This window comes from Homo sapiens, chromosome 2 (assembly GCF_000001405.40).
Source record: "Homo sapiens chromosome 2, GRCh38.p14 Primary Assembly".
In the NCBI taxonomy this organism is placed as follows: domain Eukaryota; kingdom Metazoa; phylum Chordata; class Mammalia; order Primates; family Hominidae; genus Homo; species Homo sapiens.
In genome coordinates, this window is record NC_000002.12 from 235,270,309 (window position 1) to 235,287,410 (window position 17,102).

At 40.7% G+C, this 17,102-nt stretch overlaps 1 long non-coding RNA gene across 1 annotated transcript, besides 1 other annotated feature; it reads left to right on the plus strand.

The window, feature by feature from the left end:
* Nucleotides 1-308: 308 nt before the first annotated feature.
* LOC105373940 (uncharacterized) lies at nt 309-3,920 on the plus strand. Its single transcript, XR_924009.1, has 3 exons — nt 309-552; nt 1,819-1,997; nt 3,816-3,920. It is a non-coding gene; the product is annotated as an uncharacterized LOC105373940 (long non-coding RNA).
* Nucleotides 3,317-3,884: an enhancer, noted in NCBI's record as "OCT4-NANOG hESC enhancer chr2:236182269-236182836 (GRCh37/hg19 assembly coordinates)". NCBI's record gives its function as "activates a minimal SCP1, AML or CMV promoter by ChIP-STARR-seq in naive H9 embryonic stem cells {active_cell/tissue: H9 hESC(naive)}" and the evidence as "EXISTENCE:reporter gene assay evidence [ECO:0000049][PMID:30033119]".

A 17,102-nucleotide genomic window follows, 5' to 3' on the forward strand; every position in this document is an offset into this window, starting at 1 on the left:
CTCTCCACAACTCCAAGCCCAGCAACTTGTAATCTAGTTTTGACAGTCAAAAGGTATTCAGTGAATGGATGATTAAATGAATAATAGCCTGGTAGAACAAGACTAACATGTCTCTATATGTGTGTGCCTTGACCTCCGTTACAGAGTCCTAGAGTCTATATTTTCTCCCCCTGTGGGAGACAAAGAAACTGAGACTGAAACAGTTCTACAACTTGCTGATGTCACACAGGGACAAGGCTCTATTTTCTGACCCCTGGGCTTTTTTTTCAACAACTGTATTCCATTTCTGAGTCAAAGGGAGTGCAGACTAGAACACGCATCCCAGTTCTCTCGCTGGAGCAGAAGCTCCTATTCCACCCACACCAACTCTTTCTTCATCTGTACGATGGGATAATGTGCCGTTTCCCCTACCTCACTAGAGATAGAGGAGGGGGATCCTCTAATGAGACAGCAGGGAGAATTATTTGAAAAACTAAACCAACATTTAAGGCCAGCTGCTGCTATTATTTTACTAGCAGCTTCTTCTTTTGTGCCAACTTAAAGCTACTTAAGGTAATATTTCCTTCCTACTTTTGATACAACTGGGTCTTTATTAGGAACGCTTCCTCCTGGGAGAAAAAGGAATTCCTCTGAATTCTTTGTTTCATGTTTAAAAAACCCGGGCAATGGAAAGAATATAGTTTGACCAGTGAGGATTAACTTCTAGAGATGTTGTACCATAACCTGGAATGCCAGAGAAATTGTAAAACAAAAGCTGTGGGTGTCTGCAACACTGCCGCAACCTCAGTGGCCAGCCGCAGAAAGAGAAAGAGCCTTGAAGGAAGTTAGATTTTGGTCACAGGTAACCACAAAGAACTAGTTATCACACATTGCCACATGGGTTGTAATACATCTATTAAGAAGCAGATTTTCTTTGGGGTTTGTGAGTCATCGTTCAGAATCTTAGTTCTGCTTGAGAACATGTGAACTGAAATGATCTATTTCTGTGTTATTCCTTTTTTCTCTTTTCTATCTTCATTTATTTTTTAAATTTATTTTATTTGTAGCATTCTTAAAACTCTGTAAGAATGGAGCCCAGGAGAGGGATTTTCTTTACTTCATTCCTAAGCCTTCAGATTCCTTTGTCTTAGCTTATTGTTGCCAGCTATTAGTTTGGAAAGCCTAAGACCTTCCATGAGAATTGTGTAGCCCCTGAACCCATTTCTCACCCATCAGATTGGCAAAAATTTACAAGCCTGACAATACACTCTGTTGACAAAATTGTGGGGAAACAAACATTCCTACCATGCATTGCTAGTGGGAAGGCAAATGTAAGTATTCATCTTGTTCAAAGAGATCCCTGCAGAAATGCCCCAAATAATGCTTGACCAAGTATCTGGGCACCCTGTGTGGTACAGCCAAGTTGACACAGAAAATTAATTATCACAGCTATGATACTTAATCATAGCTGATTAATGACTGTTGTGACCCCTATGAAAAAGAATTTGGCAATATCCAAATTCTGTGTGCAACCCCTATGTAAAAGAATTTGGCAATATCCAAAAGATCTACCTAATGCATCTGGGCTTTGACTCAGCAACTCCTAGGAATTTATCCCAAGATTTACCTCCAACAATATGAAAATACAGATGCACAAGGTTATTCACTGAAGCATTGTTTCTAATAGCAAGACATTGGAAACTACCAAAATGTCCAAGCAAAAACAAATCTATTGAACCCAGGAAATTGGTTCAGTAAACTCTGGCACATACATACAATAGAATAATAAGCAGCTATACAAAGAATGAGCCACATGCATGTATTTCCTCATTCTTTCAGCTAAGAGAGCCTAGAAACAATGACACTCCAGGAACAATGATCACTCGCTACTGCCAGATCTTAGTTTCCAATCCCACTATTCAGTGAAAGGAATCAGGGCTCCTTGGAGAAATGGCTGATTCTAGGACTGGAGCAGGAAATATAGAAGACAAGCCTAGAACTTCTTATAGTACCAGAAGGTAAGGAAGCTCAAACAACACACGCATGCACACACACGCACATACATGCACACATGCACATGCATGCAAGCACACACACTACAACAACAGGAAACATCAAAGGGACACAGGAGCCAATGGAAAGAGCTCCCAATGACCCAAGCTAGGATAATTTGAGAAGAAAATACAGTGATATTGGACTATAACCCAAGTATAAAATAAATGTCCATGAATTCATAAAGGTACAAATAAACGATTGAATGGGTAAATAAAGTAATGGGTGTGGTGGCTCACGCCTGTAATCCCAGCACTTTGGGAGGCTGAGGTGGGTGGATCACTTGAGGCCAGGACTTCGAGACCAGCCTGACCAACATGGAGAAACCCCGTCTCTACTAAAAATACAAAATTACCTGGGCATGGTGGCACACACCTGTAATCCCAGCTACCTGGAAGACTGGGGCAGGAGAATTGCTTGAACCCAGGAGGCAGAGGTTGCAGTGAGCCGGGATTACGCCACTGCACTCCAGCCTGGGCAACAAGAGTGAAACTCCGGCTCAAAAAATAAATAAATTAATTAATTAATAATAAATAAATGAGTATAGACAAATCTTCTGAGATGAATTCCAAATGATTTGTATAAATATTTTGCCCTCAGATGGGAGAAGCATAACTCCTTACTTCTTAAGTATGGGCCACACCTGGTGATTTCCTTCTAAAGAGTCCAGTATTAAAACGGGAGGTGGGGAGTAACTTGACAGTGGAGAAACGTGGCAAATACTACCTCAAGCCAAGTGATCAAGGTTAGCATCATCAATGATAAGTTATGTTGATCCAGTGTACCCTTGATTTGATGTGAAGAGAATATCGTTTATCTGTGTAGTGTCCTCCTGGAAACTCATAACCTCAGTCTAATCATGAGAAAAACATCAGGATAATACCAATTGAGGCTGGACACCGTGGCTCACGCCTATAACCTCAGCACTTTGGGAGGCCGAGGTGGGCAGATCACTTGAGGTCAGGAGTTCAAGACCAGCCTGGCCAACATGGTGAAACCCCGTCCGTCAGTACTAAAAATACAAAAATTAACCAGGTGTGGTGGCAGCGCCTGTAATCCCAGCTTGGAAGGCTGAGGCAGCTTGAACCCAGGAGGTGGAGGTTGCAGTGAGCCAAGATCATGCCACTGCACTCTAGCCTGGGTGATAGAGGGAGACTCTGTCTCAAAAAAAAAAAAAAAAGAAAGAAAAAGAAAAAAAAAAGAATACCAATTGAGGGGCATTTTATAAATTAACCTAACCAGTACTTATCAGTCAAAGTCCCAGGCAAGATGAATATACAGAGACCTGATGAGTAAATGTAACATGATATCCTAGATGAGATCCCAGAGGAGAAAAAGGACCTTGAGCAAAAACTAAAGAGATATAACTAAGTTATGTACCTTAGTAAATAACAAAGTATTGATATCGGTTCATTCATTGTGACAAATGTACCATCCTAATGTAAGATGTTAAAAATAGCTGTGATAATTAATTTTCTGTGTCAACTTGGCTGGACCACACAGGATGTTCAGATACTTGATCAAACATTATTTGGAGCATCCCTGCAGGGATCTCTTTGAATAAGATAAATATTTAAATCAGCAGGCGTTGAGTAGAGCAGACTGCTCTCTGTAATGCAGGTGGGTCTCATTTAATCAATGAGAAGCCTGAATAAAATAAAAAAAAAAAAAAACAATGCTCCCCTGAGCAAGAGAAGTTTTCTCCAGGAGAGGTCTTTGGACTCGAACTGGGACATTGGTTTCTCCTGCCTTTGGGCTCAAACTAAAACCTTGACTCTTCCTAGGTCTTGAGCCTGCTGGCCCTTTGGAGTAGAACTACACCATCGTTTCTCCTGAGTCTCCAGCTTCCTCCTTTCCCACCCTGCAGTTTTGGGGACTTTCCAGCCTCTGTAACTGTGAGCCAATTTCCTTATAATAAATCTCTTTCTAGATATGTGCATACTATTAGTTCTGTTTCTCTGGAGAACCCTGAGTATTACAATAGGGAAAACTGGGTGTAGGTGTATAGGAGCTCCCTGTATTATCTTTGTAAATTTTCTATAAATTTAAACTATCCTAAAATAAAAAGATTATTTTTTAAAGCCCAGAAAAAATAAATTGAAAAACAAAAGAATTAGGAAGATCTCTATAAATTAATATGGAAGTAGTTCTAGAAGACATTATTAAATGGGGAAGAAAAACAGCATTTGGGGGAAATTTATAGCACAATGCCAATATTAGAAAAAGAAAAAGGTCTCAAATCAATGACTTCAGTTTCCACCTCAAGAAACTAGAAAAAATAACAAATTAAACCCAAAAAATAAAGGTCAGAGAGGAATCAAAGAAATTTTTCAAAGTTTTAAATGAAAATAAAAATAAAGAGAATACAGCCAAAGCTGCTTCTTGAAGAATATCGATAACATTAGTAAACCTCTGGGCAAAGTACTCAGGAAAAAAAGACAGAGAATCCATAATCTCCTGACATTAGTAATGAACAAGGTGACACCACTACAGATTCTACAGAAATGAAGAGAATAATCATGGAATATCATTAACAACTCTATACCTATGATTGATAATTTAAACAAAGTGGACAAATTCCTTGAAAGATACAGGCTATAAAAGTTCACTCAAGGAGAAAGAAATAATCTGAATAACCCTACACCAATCATTAAAAATGAATTTGTACTTTAAAATCCCCCCTCAAAAAAGAAAATCCCCAGGCCTAATAACTTTACAGGTGGATTCTACCAAATATTTAAGAAAGAAATAATACTAACTCCAAACAAACTCTTCCAGAAAATTGAAAAGGAAAGAACACTTCTGAACTCACTATATGAAGCAAGCATTGCCCTGATGCCAAAATTAGTCAAAGATACTACAAGAGAAGAAAACTGCATATCAGTATCTCTCATGAACATAAATGCAAAAATTCAAAACAAAATTGTAGCAAACAGAATCCAACAATACAAAAAAGGATAACACATTATAACCAGTGCATTTCCTGGGGAAGCAAGGTTAGTTTAACATTTGAAAATCTATCAATGTATTCACCATATTAACAGATTAAAAAAGAAAAATCCATGTTATCATCTCAACAAACACAGAAAAATCTAACTCTCAGTAAAGCAGCACTAGAGGGGAATGTCCTCAATCTGATAAGGAACATCTATGAAAAATCTACAGTTAACTCCATACTAGGTAGTAAAGGACTGACTGTTTTCTCTCTAAGATCAGGAAAAAGTAAGGGATGTCTATTTTTATCGCCTCTATTTCTGAAGATTCTAGCCAGTGCAGTAAGACAATAAAAAAGAAATAAAATTTATCCTGATGGAAAAGGGAGAATTAATATTGTCTTTATTTCACTGTGATATGATTATATATAAAAGCAAATGGAATCTACAGAAAAGCTGCTAAAACTAATAAGTAATTTAGTTTGAAATGTATACAAGATCAATATGTGAAAAAATCAATTGTATGTCTAGGACCAAATAATCTGAAATTCCCAAACTACCAATTACAATAGCATCAAAAATATAAAATACTTTGGATACATTAGTCAAAAGATGTACAAGACCTGTATATACTAAACTATACAAACATTGCCGAAACAAAGAAAACCCAAATAAATAGAGAGATGTGTGGGTTGAAAGGCTTGATATTGTATGATGACAATTTCCCCCCATTCTATAGAACTGATGCAGTCCCAATACAAATCCCAGCAGGACTTATAGTAGAAACTGTCAAGCTAATTCTAAAATTTTGATGTAAATGAAAAGAAAAGGACCTAGAATATCCGAAACAACTTTAAAAAGAAGAGCAAAATTGGAGGACTAACACTTTCTGGTTTCAAGACCCATTATAGATCTACAGAAATCAAGACAATGTGGTATTAGCATAAAGATAAAAAACAGATCAATGGGAAGGAACAGGAAGTACAGAAATAGATCCACACATATAAGTGGGCATGTGATTTTTGTGAAATGTGCAAAGGCAATTCAGTAGAGAAGGAATAGTCTTTTCATTAATGAAGCTGGAATGATTGGATATCCATATGTTTAAAAAGTGAACAAACACCTCACAAAAAGATATACGGATGGCAAAGATGCATATGAAAAGATACTCAAAATCATACGTCTTTAGAGAACTGCAAATTAAAACAACAATGAGACACCACTACACACCTATTAGAGTGCCTAAAATTCAAAATACCAATGATACCAAATGCTGGTGAGAATGTGGAGCAATAGGAACTTTCATTCATTGCTCATGGAACGCAAAATGGTACAACCACTTTGGAAGACAGCTTGGCAGTTTCTAACTAAGCTAAACATAGTTATATTATGTCATCCAGCAATCGCATTCCTAAGTATTTACACAATTAACTTGAAAACTTATGTCCCCACAACAACCTGCACACAAACGTTCTTAGCAGCATTAATCATAATCTTCAAAAACGAGAAGCAACGTAAATGTCCTTTAATAGGTGAATACCTAAACAAACTGCAATACATTCATACAATGGAATATTATTCAGCAGTAAAAAGAAATTTGCTAACAAGTCACAGAAAGAGACGAAGGAAACTTAAATACACATTGATAAGCAAAAGAAGCCAGTCTAAAAAGGCTACATACTGTACGATGCCAACTAAATGGCATTCTGGAAAAGGCAAAACTATAGAGACAGTAAAAAGATCAGCAGTTGCTAGGGACTGGGCAGTGGAAGAATAAATAGATGAAGCGCAGGGTGTTTTTAGGGTGGCAGAACTATCTGAATCACACAGTATTGGTGGACACATAACATTATGTATTTGTCAAAACCCATAAAACTGTACAATACAAACAGTGAAGTTTAATATAAACTATGGACATCAATATAATGCATCAATACTGATTCATTAATTGCAACCAATACACTACACTAATGCAAGATGTTAATAATATGGGAGACTGTGTGAGAGGGAGAAGGAGTATATGGGAACTCTCTATACTATCTGCTCAGTGTTCTGTAAATCTAAAGTTGTTCTAAGAAATAAAGTCTATTGATTTTTAAAAAGGTTTAAGAAATCAGGCTGACCGTAAGTAATGTGTGTGGCCATAGTGTCAATTTAATAATCTATAATGGTGAATAATTGTTACATTGAACACTATAATGAATCATAAAATAACTATCAGGAGCATTCTTTCTCTAGGGAGAACTTCATGATAAGTCAACTAAAATAGAAAGAGAGGGAGGAAGAAGGAGGGAAGAAGGAAGGAAGGAAGGAAGGAAGGAAGGAAGGAAGGAAGGAAGGAAAGAAGGGAGGGAGGGAGGAAGGAAGGAAGGAAGGAAAGGAAAGAGAGAGGGAGGGAGGGAAGGAAGGTGAGTCTGGCCCCTGGGAGTCTGGGGCCTCCTCCTGCTGCTCTCTTGACAAGCCATGCTCAGGCCAGTCTGTGGTCATTCAGCCAGAAGATGCTCCACAAACCAAGCCTAATGGGATGAAGAGGACGCAAATATCCAGGGTCTTCATGCACCACTGTGATAAACCCGAAGGCCCAAAAAGCCACCCTACAAAGCGGGTATGGGCCAGGGACAAGATTTTTTTTCAGGGGGTTTTCCTACCCGGAGGTCCGCAGACATTAACCTCATGGAGACCAAGAATATGTTTAGAAATTCATTACAAAAAGCACACCTGAGTGAATGTGCCTATGTCTGGAGAGAGTTCTACAGCTCCCTTCAGATTTTCACAGGGGTTTTTAACATCCCCACACTTCCCCCTGCTTTGTTCCTAGACTGGTAGACAACCAAATCTCTTACTCATAGATCCATTCTGTAATGACAACCACCATGAAAACTGTGCACAGGTGAGCAAAAGCACTCAATGGAAGCACAGGAAAGCAGGAAAGGACCATAAGTTCTTTCTGGGCCTTTTCCTGAATGCAGAAAAGTGATGTGGAACCACGTACATAATTCTTGAGTAAACAGAGTGTGGTTGATTTGTGGATGCGTATACTGAAAAGAAGCCTCAGCATATCACACAACTCTCTGCACTCCCCTTGCACACAGGCTTTGCTATGTCCTTACTCCATCATGGTCACCTTTTTCTAGAACTGAGAATTGAGATGTAGTGTTCTGAACTCAACTTTTCTTATTTTTAATTCCTGCTAAGAATGGGTTACTTTTTTTTTTTTTTTTTTTTGAGACAGGGTCTCGCTTTGTCACCCAGGCTGGAGTGCAGTGGTGCCATCTCGACTCACTGCAACCCCCACCTCTCAGGCTCAAGTGATTCTCATGCCTCAGCCTCCTGAGTAGCTGGGATTACAGATGTGCACCACCACACCCAGCTAATTTTAGTATTTTTTAATAGAGACGGTGTTTCACCATGTTGGCCAGGCTGGTCTCAAACTCCAAAGCTCAAGTCTGCCCACCTCAGCCTCCCAAAGTGCTGGGATTACGGGTATGAGCCACTGCACCCAGCCTGTGTTATATATTTTTTTTTAATCTGGGATGTTTCGTGAACGTTGTAGTGCTTTTAACTCTAGAACATCTTTGGGAAGCCACTGTTTTCTGAGAGAGGTACACATTTCAGAAAAGGAATTAACCATTTTCTAGGCAAAGGTACACTTAGGTTAAAACCATAGCAAAGCATTGTCTAGACACGTGTGAGTCACTTTCCCTTGCTCACAGATATTAAGGAGCCTGGCCCATTTTATTTCTTCAGCTTTGCTGACAAAACTCAACTTTGCTGTCTCTCTGTTCACTCACCTTGTGGAGTAGGCTTTCTTTCCTAGTTGAAATTGTGCGAAGCGTGACCAATTAACTAAGAGTCTTAGCAGGATTTACTGCTGATCATATTTCACATTTGCTCCTGGAACTCCAGTGTGATAACAAGGATATTTGCTTTGCATACTAATTTGTATAGCCAATGATTAACTCTGTGTTGTATACAAGCGTGTGTTAGAATCAGGGCTTTTAAAGTGGAAAGAGCTTGAAAACCTTCCTTCAACATATCCAGGGAATTCAGGGTTTGGATGATATTGCTCAAAGGCTGAGCAAGCTCCTCAATTTGTTATCCATGGCTGTGTAACAAATGATCACAAATTTAGTAGCTTAAAACAACACACATTTATCTCACAGTTTCTGTTGGTCAGGAGTCTGGACAGGAGTCCTGGAATGGCTTAGCTGGGTCCTCTGCCCAAGGACTTACAAGGCTGAAATCAAAGAGTCAGCCACAGCTGAGGTCTCACCTGAAAGCTCAATGGGGGCCTGGCATGTTATTGGCAGGAATCAATTTCTTACAGGTTGTTGGACTGAGGGCCTCAGTTTCTTGTTGGCTGTTGGCTGGAAGCTGCTCTCACAGTCTTACCACATGGGCCTCTCCAGATGGCTCGTCATCAAAGGCAGCAAAGAAGAGTTTAAATAGAGCAAAAGTGCTAGCAAGACCAAAGTTACAATCTCTCATAACCTAGTTACAGAAGTGACATCCTCTCATTTTATCTAAATTCTACTGGTTAGAAGCAAGTTACAAGGCCCAGCCCACACTCAAGAGAAGGGGCTTACACCAGGGTATGATGATCAGGAGGTGAGGATCATTATGGTCCATCTTAGAGTCTGCCTGCCACACCCTCCAAAGTCATATCTATTTGCAGTCTCTTTACAAAGAACCTGCAAAGTTCCAATTCTTAAAACTTGTCTATGGATCAAGATGGCTCTGTCCAGGGTCAGAATGCAAGAAGTAGCAACAAGAGTTGCAGCAATCACGAAAATGAGCCACCAAGATCTGCTGTAGGAACATGGTTGACTTGCAGCCCCAGATGCCACTTCTCTGGATCCACCACTGTATTCTCATAGAGGCTACACTTCCTGCAGGCTGCTCCCAGTCCAGGCCTGAGCACTGTGGGCATACTGATGAAAGCCCATTCCTGTCATTCAGTCTAGCTCTGAGCACTGTGGGTGTATTATTGAAAGCCCATACCAGTCCTTCAGTGGTTGTAGCCCAGGCTGTGTCTCTGCTGGCATTGCAAATTTCTGAAAGAAGTAACTCTTGGATTGTGTCTTCATTGACCCTAGCAGCTGGAGCCTGGGGAGAGCTGAGAGGTTATGGCAGAAGCTCTTCTCCATGGGGTTACCTGTACAGTTTTCTTCGTGAGCCAAGTGGGAAGGGAAAATGCCTTACCACGGGGCTGCAAACTTTAAAGTATCAGGAAATCTTGCTCCTGGCCCCTCTCCAGTTTCTCATCTTCATTAGCTTCCCCAAGACCCACCCCCATCCTCTGTCAACATAGCGTTAAGCAGCTAGTACCAGACTGAGCATATCCTCTTTCTATGGTGACCACAGGTATCTCTCTTCCTCGGGTGCAATGACTCCACACCAGGCTTGCTCATCTTCAAGTGCATAATCTTCAGTGGCTTATCAAAATATAGGGCCAGCCTGGAATCATTGGCATCCTGGCCTATTGTGGGGGCATGCCCTAGCCTAAAAGACGTACCCAAATTCCTGTTCCATTGACACAGGTCCGGAACCACCAGGCCTGACCTCAGGATAAAAGGGTCTCTTTAGTAGCTAACATAAGGGACAAGAGAGCCTTGGCATGGGCATGGTATGTAGGGTTTCACTGTAAGGGTGACTTTGTTTGTCACCCTTTCTTGCATCCCAAGATTGTGCAAACTGGAGGAATTGGTTACAACAGCATTCTTCGGCTTTGGGTTAATATAACTAGATCTCCAGGTTCAACAATGCAACTGATTCTCTTACTCATGATCTCAGATAACATGCTGGAAGGGGATACAGCCCGTGCTCTTCCATGCTATCTGCTAGCCATCCTCCAGAAGAAGGACTATTTAGGGGCTGCAGCAGGTGTACTTATGTTACAAGCTCCAATTCCAACCTCTAGCACACAGCTTTAATCCAAACCAAGGCTTTCAGACCAAGAGTCTAAGATGTCTGACTTGGCCTATTTTCATAATTTCACTGTCAAAAGTAATTTTTTTAGCCCAACCCAGAATTAAAATAATTAAGAATTTCTAACAAATTCCATATTTGAACAACTAAAAAACAAATTATATTCATTTATTATAAAACAAAAAGGGGAAAAAACGTTCTAAGAATTTTAAAGAAATTGGCTAACAAGATGTCAGTTCTTCTATTTTGGCTTTACTTATAAGGAATATAACTTATCTTATAAAACCTGAGTAATGATTCTGAAAAAACTTGCGCATTCATTCAGCAAATATTTATTAACATGTACTATGTACCGGGCTCTGTTCTAGGTACTGAGGACACAGTGGTAGACAAAGCAGAAAAAGGCAGCAAAATCATACAATCCAAAAATCACAGAAATGAAAATTTGGTGTGACTCAATTATAAAGCTAAATTTATATTTGGAGATCTTGAAAGGACTTGCTAATATACATTAACAGTTCCTTAAGATACTTTTTAGATAGCAGTAATTACTTTTTTGATAATTCAAGAGACTTCTAAAGATCACATACACTAGGAAGGGTCTTGATGTGGTTTGGCTCTGTGTCCCCACCCAAATCTCACCTCAAATTGTAAATCTCATCTCTTGAGGGAGAGACTTGGTGGGAGGTGACTGGATCAGGGCATCGGTTTCCCCCATGCTGTTCTCATGATGATGAGTGAGTTCTCACGAGATCTGATGCTTTAAACATATTTGGCAGTTTCCCCTCCCTCTCGCTCTTCTGCCAACAAGTAAGACATGCCTTGTTTCCCTTTTGCCTTCTGCCATGATTGTAAGTTTCCTGAGGCCTCCCCAGCCACGCTGAACTGTAAGTCAATTAAACCTCTTTCCTTCATAAATTACCTAGTCTTGGGTAGTTCTTTACAGCAGTGTGAACATGGACTAATACAGGTTTACTAGGCTTGTATCCTTATTTCCTGTTAAATATTCTATGCAAAATTAGCTTTCCACCTACCTCTCCTTTTTACTTCCAAGTAAAACAAGTTAGGCTGAAAATATCAGGATAGTGTTAAGGCATTGCTAACACCGTCTTTGCAGACATGGCCCAGATGCCTCAGATCTTTAAGCTCTCTGAGTTAGCACCAGAGTCAACAAACTCAGGAGCTTGCTGTGCTGCCCCGTTTGGCAGCTGTGGTTCCTGCTGAAAATCCAGAGTGATAAAATGCCTTTCATCCATCTGACACTTCGGCAGAAACTGTGGGCGGGCAGAGCTCCCCTCTGTTCCCCACGTCTTTCGCTCTTGCCATCCTCCACTTTGGAGGCCATAAGCAGGTCTGGCTTTGTGGGCACCCAACCAGTGCAGTCACACAGAGTCATGCCCTCAGAAGGGGATCCCGCCCTGAGGTTTAATCCTCTGTGGTCATCATCTTAAAATTCTTAATAATGTTCTCTTTTAATTTATGTTTTATGAGTGAAGTCTAGGGACAATGGAAGGTGTGACCATAGCTTAAGAGCCTGGGCCCACAGGCTGCCCTGCCTTCCGCCACCTCTCTACATCCCCCCATCACCTATTCTCAGCATTTTCTCTCCCACCTCCACCCAGCAACTGCAACCAAGCACCTGGGCACAGGCACAGGAAGGACTGGGCAGGTGCACTTCCCACACTGAGTCAGGGGCACCTGGAGTGTCTATACTTCCTTCATGAGTGTCCCTATCTCCAAGGGGGCACGACATTAAATAGCAAATTAAAACACCATTGCAGATGGAGAGAGACCACCGAAGAAACAAAAACTTTTCCTTTGCCCTTTAAAAAAAAAAAAAAAAAAAAGAGGGAGAGACAGGTCTCATGCTGTTGCCTAGGCTGGAGTGCAGTGGCATGATCATGGCTCACAGCAGCCTCAAATTTTTGGTCTCAAGCAATCCTCCCACCTCAGCCTCCCAAGTAGCTGGGACTCCAGGTGCATGCCACCAAGCTCAACTAATATTTATTTTTATTTTATAGAGATGGGATTTCACTATGTTGCCCAGGCTGCTCTCAGACTCCTGGGCTCCAGCAATTCTCCCACCTCAGCCTCCCAAAGTTCTGGGATTATAGGCATGAGCCACCGTGCCTGGCCTCCCTTGCTTTTTGAATAAGAGGCCCTGGATTTTCATTTGGCATTGGGTCCTGCAAACTATGTGGTCAACCTTGGCCATCAGCACTGAAATTCTAAACCCCAGCCTCCCTCACAACTTAGAAGTGGCTCTGTGAGCTCCATGTGGCCCACAGAGCCAAACTGCCAAATGTTGCTCCTGGAGAGCTAGGAATGTTCATGTTTTACTCATTGCTGATTTCCGACTGTAGAACAAAGAGCAGATGTTCAGTAAAATTTGATAGAACTAATTAACTAAATCACACATGCTATATATTTGTGTGCTTGCTAACTGTATTATTCAAGAGCTTGCACCATTTTTTCTATTAGATGTGTCTGATCATGAGAGTGTGGTGTTATCTTTTAACATGATAAGCTTTCATCGGATTCTCCTTTTAATTCTCAATATACTTTCTATGTCAGACAGCTATGATCAGTATAAAGGTTTATATATGCAAAGTGTTTTTGAATTGCATCTTTTATTAACATAAAAATCCCTTTCCGTCTTTTTTTTTTTTTTTTTTTTTTGAGATGAAGTCTCACTCCGTCACTAGGCTGGAGTGCAGTGGCACGATCTCGGCTCACTGCAACATCTGCCTCCCAGGTTCAAGCGATTCTTCTGTCTCAGCCTCCCGAGTAGCCGGAACCACAGGCGCGCACACCACGTCCAGCTAATTTTTGTATTTTTTAGTAGAGACGGGGTTTCACCCTGTTGGCCGGGATGATCTCGATCTCTTGACCTTGTAATCCACCCACCTCAGCCTCTCAAAGTGCTGGGATTACAGGTGTGAGCCACCGCGCCCGGCCCTTTCCATCCTTTTGATGACTTTTGCCTTAAATTTATTTTGATGCCAGTATTACACAATACTTAAAATTCAAAGTAGACTGTATCAAAGTAGAGTGCATATATATGTATATGTGTGTATATATATATATGTATATATATATATACACACATATATGCACACCCATGTGTACATTTTGGCTCATATATCTTTGCCCAACTTTACCGGTAACTTCTTCGTGCTTTTGGTGGGTCTCTTATGAACGAAATAGAGCTGAATTTTTATTCTTTTTAACCCAGTGTGAAATTCTATCTTCCAACAAGGCAATTTATCCAGTTTGCATTTACTATGGATGTATTTTTGTGTGTGCTTCCTATTTTCTGGGTTTTGAAAAATTGCCTTTTTTTCCTTTTCTGACTTTTCATGAATTGCTTAAGTTTTTTGATATGGAACTTGACTTGTTTTATCTACAGTTTTATGAAAGCACTAGGTCCTCTATCTATTTTCATAATTTAATTTTTTTACAAGTGTATATATAAATTCCATCTTTCTGTTTTGATATCAAGAACCAAATAGCAATAGCCTCCTCTTTTTTCCAGATGAGGTCTTTGTCATGCTTTTACTTTCTCGTTTTCTCCACCTACCATACTCCTTGCTTGCCCTACGCCCAGGTTCCATGGAAATGCTCTGATTTTCCCTTCAAGACTGACCTTTCTTTATTAAGAAACTTTCCTTAAAAATTGCATTAAATGTTATCACTACATTATCAGAAGTTACTTATTTAACAATTAGATGGGTTTCCTTGTTTATCCTGTTTCTTTTATATTCTGTCTCCCCTTTTGTGAGGTTTTCATTCTGATTTATTTTTCATTCTGCTCTACTACCTCCTTGAATAATCTTTTCTTAATGAGAATAACTGTGGAATATTTTCTGAGCTCTTAAATATTTGAAAATAACTGGGTCTTCCATGTAAAGAATAATTAGATTGGGAATAAAATTCCAAGGTCACCATTTTTTCTTTAGAACCTTGTAAAAATCACTGGCCTTTCATTTTGTGTTGCGACTGAGAAGCTTAATGAAAATTTGATTTCTTTCCTTCTAAACTATCTCTTTTCTACTAACTGAAATCAAGTAGGATCCTCTCTCTACACTGGAAATGCAGGATATGGCCAGGTGGGATGTTTCTTTCAATAATTCTCACTGGAGACTTTTTTCATGGACATTGCCACTCCTGGGTCTCTCCCTTTTATTATTACGATCTTTTCTTTGATACGTTTTCATGGACTTTTATGTTTCATATTTTATGTGGTAAAAGAATTTCTCCACTTACTCTTCTACATCCTTAGCTTGGTTTTCAACAGTGCCTACCCTGCCCCACACTCGCTCTATTGAGACTTTATCCTGCTTGTACTAGGTCCCGTTCGTGGGTGTGTTTTGGTGACCAGGAAGCTTGCACACATGATTCAGCACTGTTTTCTCACTTGCCTCAGTGGGTGACTGAACTGATCCCTATAGGCACCAATGTAGACTCCATCTGCAATTTTGTAAATCAAGAGGCAGTCTTGCCAGGCAATGAGGCCGGTGGCTACAGGGTTCATCTGTGAGACCACCCTCCACTCAGTGTGAACTTCTATACTGAACATGGGGAGTTGGGAGAGATAGGCCAGGAGAAAGCTTGCCTTTCTTGATGTGTAGGTGGTCTGGGAAGAGGGTGTCAGGATCTTTTGCTAGGGAACAATAATAGGTGTGTTCGGGGCAGTTGTGTAATCAAGATCCCAGCTGCACCTGGTTTGCTACCTATCCTAAGTTAAGAAAGTAGATGGGGTAAATGTTTTCATCTGCAGTTTTTATGTAGGCATTTCATAGAACTGTGGAGGCTTTTTTTCTATTGCTAGCCAACCACAACCATCCCAGCCATTCCTCCAGCTTCCAATGAAGAGGTTTAGGTGCCTGAGACCACCCAGAGCTGGAATCACGGGAGGACAGCATAAAGACGTTGCACTAGCACTGTGCTATATCGTCCCTTTGCTCTTCCGTGTATTTGCTCACTGAAACCATGGTTAGTGGAAGCAACTGCCCTTCTTTTCCTTCTGACCCCTTTAACAAATCCTCACAATGGAACCCTATGACAAAGCCCCACCTCCCCTTCCTTTACTTAGCAAAAACTCTGGACAACACTAGCATCAAGATTGTTGGTCTCTAGTATGGGACATGGAGACTGTTCTCAAACTGAACCTCTCCCTCTCCTCCTTTGCCCCCTCCACTGCCCCAACCTTGTTAAAAGGCTTGGTTCCCCTGGACTGGAGGTTGTCTGGGGGGCTAAGCTTTTATCTCTTAGGCACCGCTTTTATTCATGGAACACATTTACTGTTTCACATCATTCATTTATTCATTGGGCAACTGATGGACACTTTCCATCAGATGACAAATGGCCAGGGCACATGCTGCAGTGGTCCAGTTCCATACCCATGGCAGACATCACTAATCAATCACGGTTTATTTGATCTGAGTCTAAATGCAGCCTTGGCTGTATTCATTTTCTATTACTGAGATAACTACCACAAACCTAGTGTAAACCACATAAATGTATTAGCTACAGCTCTGTGAGTCTAAAGTCTAACACGGGTCTCATCTGGTTCTGGTTAAAATTTAGGTGTTGACAGGGCTGTGCTCCCATCTAGAGACTCCAGGGGAATTTCCTTGCTTACTCTAGCTATTGGCAGAATTGCATTCCATGCTGCTGTAAGACTGAAGTCACCATTTCCTTGCTGGCTCTTAGCTGGTGGCTGCCTTTCTCACCCAGAAGTCTCTCTCAGGTCCTTGCACATAACCCCTTACAGCTCGGCATCAGAGGGTTGAGTCTGTCTCATGCTGCCATCTCTCTGACCTCTTTTGCCTCCTCTCCCACTTTTAAGGACTCATGTGATTACATTGGTCTACCTGGATAATCCAGGAAAGATCTCCCCATCTCCAAGTCCTTATCCTTAAGAACATCTGCAAAGTCCTTTTTGCTATGTCTGGTAATGTAGTCACAAGTTCCAGGGGACTAGAGTGTGGACAGCTTTGGGAGCCATTATCCTGCCTACCACACACCAACAGCAGATCCTTTTCAATGTGCACTCCAGGGGTCACTGCAAATTGAATGATGTTAGAACTGGAAATGAAATCTACCAGACATATTTGGAATATATAAATGAGTATGTCCAACTCATCTCTATATGAAGATTGTTCTTAGAGTAAATCATAAGATTGACACTTCCAGGAGAGAAGACAG